We start from the raw sequence: 6,163 nt of genomic DNA, 5'->3' as shown, positions 1-6,163 counted from the left end.
AAAGCAGAGCTCTGACAAAGTCTCCCAAGACAGTGGATCCAGCAATGTCTCCAACTGTACTTGCCTTCGAACATTTCCTTTTGTCACCCAATATATTTTATGCTCTGTTTAAGCTAGTGTGAGTCCAGTCTCTCAAAATTGAGGGTACTAATTTAGATGGTTACTGCTTCAAGATAAGCAGCTATTAATTCTTAGCTACTGATTCTTATACTCCTCTGAGAATGAACTATGGAAAGTTTAGAACTCTACGACATAAAAGCGTAGTAGCCCTGGAGTCAGTTCTTGATTTGACTCTAGACCTTGAGGATATACTATCAAACTCCACGTTACACTGGCTTTAAATGACCAGTTGAATGGGAAGTAAAATTAAAACTTAAAAAGGATTGAGTATAACTGATGGACTTTTAAATTGTCTTAAAAATACACTTTGTCATGTTCAGCTCATGATAAGAAACGTAGCAATACTACAAAAAAATACAAAAATTAGCCTGATGTAGTGGCATGTGTCTTTAGCTCCAGCTACTTGAGATGCTGAAGTAGGAGGATGGCTTGAGCCCTGGAGGCAGAGGTTTCAGTGAGCCATGATTGTGCCACTGCACTCCAACCTGGGAGAAAGAGCCGGACCCTGTGAAAAGAAAAGAGAGGAGGAGAGGAGAGGAGAGGAGAGGAGAGGGGAGGGGAGGGGAGGGGAGGAGAGGGGAGGGGATGGGAAGGGAGGGGAGGGGAGGGGATGGGAAGGGAGGGGAGGGGAGGGGCAGCAATAGTATAGATTTTTATATGTGTGTTAGATATGTGGGATATGATATTTTGCCTATTTAGGGCTAGTAGTAATTGTAAAGTAGTACAGTTCGCTTTATTGTAAGAATCAAACCACATCGCCCTTGCATTCTAAAGACCTGCTTATCTATGGGCAATGGAGGCATTTGAATATGCTGGTTGAACCTCATGTATTTCTTGAATCAACTCTGACCAATGTGTGAGGCTTATTCTGTTTATTGGAGACCTACTCTGTGTTAGGCACTGAAATGGGCAGTTTATATGCAATGCATCATTTAATCTCTGCAATGAATCTATGAACATGTTTGCTATTATTGACATTATTCTAATTTAAACAGAAATAATGATGGTAAATAACACTTTTCTGGTAGTTTCTTTGATCCAGGTACTGTTCCAATGACATACACATGCTGATATATTTAATCTTCATAGTAAATTAGGAATTTATTTAATTCCCCAAATATATAAGGTAAGTACTTTTATAATTACCTCTATTTTTCAGATAAAGAAATTGAGCTGCAGAGTTATTAAAAATGTTGCCAATCTCATCAATATAATAAGTGCCAGAGCTTAGATTTGAACCCAGAAAATCTGTCTCCAAGGTCTGTGTTTCAGTCACTGTGCTTCCTAGCTTGTGGATACAGAAGCAGAGCACACTTGTGTCTGTGTTCCCCAGACATGCTTTTAACTACTGTACTCTATTGCTTGTCTGTGTATCAGTAGATGCTGATTTATATCAGCAGGGGGTTCCTGAATTTTTACTCTTTGGGAAGGCACCTTCAGGGCATGTCTAGTGAACCATTGGTACCCGCTTGTTCGATTGCTGTTTTTTTTTTTTCCCTCTTCCCACAGTCATATGTATGGTCCATATAAGAGGTAGAGAATGTCTGTTCTCTATCTGTCTTCTAGACCTGCATATGCTATGAATACCTCTACTGTATCTTAAGGTCCTGGACAAGCTGCTTTGCTTTGTTAGGACCCTCTCTCTGTGTGACGTCCTGTTGTAGCTTATTGAGATGCTACTGTCAACCACCCCTAAAACCCTGAAACTGCCAAGTTCAAAGCCTACCTGCATCGAGCTCAAGTTCAGTGCCTTGCTTGAAGTGAGTTGAGGGTATGTTTTCCTTTCTGGTTATTACTTAATTCAGTAAATATTAACTGAGTACAATAACGCTATTTTCACAATACCAAAACTTGGCCATCCAAATAAGCTTTGTGTCTTTCAGTGTAGTCAACTTGGATATTATAGATCTATTTCTAAAATGTTCAAAATATTGGGTGATTCCCTCTGGGAAATGTCTTAATATGTTTTAATATGTCTTATGAGACCGTCTACTATATTGTTTAATAGTCACCTCATTTAAGAGTCAAACAATATTTCTTTAGTTATTCATGTATGTTCCTTACAAGTTTTGATTCTTTGTGATTTTGGCCCATTTCTCATTATCCTTTCTCCATAGAAATTGTGTAAGACAAGTTGATGCTAGTATCTTAGCCATACCAGTTCTTTATTTTATGACTTTGTTCAGTCCCTCAGATCCCCACAAAAAGAAAAAAAAAACAAGGTATTTATAAACCATAAAAATTGAGATCTAGCCTCATTTCTGTGGGAGATGGTAGAAGGTAAGCTCTTGTGCACATTCATTCAGCCAATCAACCTCGATTGAGAATTTTTGCTTCCTCATGATGAACTAATTGGTCCCAGACTTCCCCTCTCACTTACTCCCAATCATTAGAAAATCAGACAGAATATATGAAAGAACTTGTTTAAGCCATTGGGTAATTAGCAGCTCCAGACCATGATTCCCAAAGAAGGGGAACAAATTAGGAGAGCTCTATGAATGTCATGACTTTCTGCTTCGTGCCACTATTCAGACCCAAGCTGACCATGATAGATTGATAAATTTGAGGAGATAGAGATCAGAGTTCAGAGAGGTTAAGGAGGCTGTCACCTGCATCTTGATGAAGGCTACACACAAGATACGCAAGATGAAGGCTACACAAAAAGAGGACCAGAAACCTGTATGAGGTTCCCTTGAAGTTTATCTGAACAACTAAACTGTGAAAACATAGGATGAGGATCTGGGACATCAGGAAAATAACAACTATTTGGGAAGGGCATCAGAGTTCATGCAGTGCAAGGAGACATTTGCGCTCTGACCCTGGCTGACCAGGAGACATTTGCAGAGCCCTTGTTGAACCCTCAGAGCATTTAGTAGAGTCTCTAGAAAGATTATACTTTAATAGTAGGGCTAAACACCTACCCTAAAACATCTTAGAAACAAGTCTGGAAAGCTTCACGCTGATCTGCAAGTAACTTAAGCCTGCTAAAACAAAATTTAACAATTGTTAAAAGTAGACAGTGAAATACTGACACTTAACCCTGTTACATTTACATTGTGCAGAATCCAGTGAAAATTATAAGGCATGTAAAATGCAGGAGAAAAATAACAGATTTTGGAATTACATATTTTCGAATGAGCAGACAAATATAATAAAACAGCAAGGTAGACAGAATACTAAAATAACCCCAATGGTTCTATTATATTACATGACAATAGGGCTTGTGCAGACATAATTAAGGTTATTAATCAATTGACTTAGATAGAGAGATTATCCAGATAAGCCTAACCTAATCACATGAATCCTTTAAATGTAGAGGCTTTCCTTTGGTTGGTTGCAAAAGAGGAAGTCAGAGAAATTCGAAGCATGAGAGAGATTTCACTCTGTAGTTCAACCTACAGAACGGTAAGATAAATGACTGTTGTTTTAAGCCACTAAAACTAATATAAACGGCTAATGTAAATATTCTCAAGAATTTGAGGAAAACATGAGCATAATGGGGAGAAAAGTGGAAAACACAAAAAAGAACCAATTAGAATGTCTAGAGCTGAAAAATACAATATGGGAAATAAAATATCTGAAATTCATTGCCTGTATGTAATAGCAGTTGCACACTGCAAAAGAAAACATCAAAGAACTTGAAGACACATGGAGCACTGATCAAAATAGACTCCATAGTATTCCATAAAATAAGTCTGAATACATTAAAATATATTGAACTTATTTTGACATGAGAACATTAAATTAAAAATAACGAAATGTCTGAAAATCACCTTGCATTTAAACATTAAACAGTACACTTTCAAATAACATACCGTTTAAACAAAAAATTTATTTATTAAAAAAATACTAGGAAATATTTGAAATGACTGACAACAAAAGCAACCTGTTGAAATTTGTAGTGTGTAGTCTAATGTAGGTCTTGGGAAGATATTGAAAGCTTCAATCCTTATATTAGAAAAACATATTTAAATTTAATGATCTAACCTGTGCATTAAGAACTAGAAAAATATAATGAATTTAACCCAAAGTAGGAAAAATAAATAATAAAAAGCATAACTCAATAAGAGAAAACGTGTAAAAATTGAGAAAAAAATCAATAATACCAAAGCTGTTATTTGAAAAGACTAGTAAAAGTGACAATGTATAGCTGGACATATTAAGAAAAGAGAGAAGACAGAAATGACCGATATAAAATGAGTGGACATCACTCTAGACCCTATACTTATTAAAAAGATAAGAAGGCGGGTGTGGTGGCTCATGCCTGTACTCTCAGCACTTTGAGGGGGCTGAGGCAAGCAGATCAAATGAGGCCAGGAGTTCGAGAACAGCCTGGGAAACATGGCAAAACCCCGTCTCTGCTAAAAATACAAAAATCAGCCAGGCATAGTGGTGCATGCCTGCAGTCCCAGCTATTTGGTGGGCTGAGGTGGGAGGTTCACCTGAACCTGGGAGGTGGAGGTTGCAGTGAGCTGAGATCACAACACCGCACACCAGCCTGGGCGACAGCAAGGCTCTGTCTCTAAATAAATAAGAAAATGATATAAGCAATTTCATGTCCAAAAAATGGATAACTAAATGAAATGAACAAATTTATTAAAAGGCACAATTTACTAAAACCACCACCAAAAAAAACCCAGATCTGAAAATGTTTATGTCTCTTAATTACAAACCCACTGTTTGTAATCATAAAGTACATTAAAGAGACAAACCTTTTCCCACTGTTGCCTGGGGCTGGTGGCAGGAATTAGAATTAACTGTAAATGGGCATGAGAGATCTTATGAGGGAAATGAAAATGTTCTAAAACTAACTATGGTGATGGTTTCACAACTTGGTAACATTAGTAAAAATTATTAAATTGTACTGTTTAAATGAATGGGCTTATGATAAGTGAAATAGATCTCAACAAAACTGTTTAAAATAAGATAAATAAAATTATAAATATATATATTGTTTCCACAAAGAAAATTTCAGGTCTGGATAAATTTCATCAAACATTTAAGGAAAAAATATCAATCCTGGACTCGAATACTTGACCTCAAGCAATCCTCCCACCTGGGCCTCCCACAGTGCTGGAATTACAGGCGTAAGTCACTGCACCTGGCCCATCCTCAAGACTCTTAGAAAAAAATAGAAGAGAGGACAGCAGGAATGGAGAACATTTCACAAAACATATATTTGTTCATTATTGTGTACAGTTAAGTTATATAATACACACACAGGCACACATGCAGAGAAAAAGAATGTTTATGTTTACTATGCAGATGATAATAGGCACACAAAAAGATGTTCAACATCATTAGTTATCAGGGATAAGCAAATTAAAACCATGAAGAGATACCACTACCAGTTAGAATAGCAAAATCTAGAAAAAAAGACTCAGCATCCCAAGAGTTGGCCAGGACTTGGAAGCAATGGTAGTTTTATATACTACTAGTCAGAATGTAAAAGGGTATTACCGCTTCAGAAAACCTTTTATCAGTTTCTTATAAGGCTAAACACACACTTGCTATGCAACTCAACATTTTTGCTTTTACTCAAGGACATAAAAATGTGTGTCAACACAGGTTTCCATTTGAATGCTTATAGCAATGTTATTCAAAATAGCCACAAAATGGAAACAACGAAATGGCCATCAACAGTACAAACACATTGTGTTATATCCTTACAATGGAATATTACTCAGCTATAAGAAAGGAACAAACTGTTGATACACACAACATAGGTAAATCTCAAAAATGTTATAGCAAGTAAAAGAACACAGACAAAAAAGTATGTGTCATATGACACCTTTTATATGAAATATTACAAAAGTCAAAATTAATGTTAAGTAATAGCTTATCAGTCCAGGTCTGGGGTTAAGAAGTGGATTGAGTAAATAAGGGTATAAGACACCTCTATAGGAATTATTCTGTACCTTGTTTGTGGTAGTTGTTATGATATAAAGTTTTACGTTTACTTTATATATTATAAACTCATCAACCCATATTTTTAACATGTGCATTTTTATCTAAATTATACCTCAATAAAATTGATATAAAT

This window comes from Homo sapiens, chromosome 3 (genome assembly GCF_000001405.40).
Source record: "Homo sapiens chromosome 3, GRCh38.p14 Primary Assembly".
NCBI classification, from domain to species: Eukaryota; Metazoa; Chordata; class Mammalia; order Primates; family Hominidae; genus Homo; species Homo sapiens.
Note: the sequence above shows the minus strand (reverse complement) of the source record.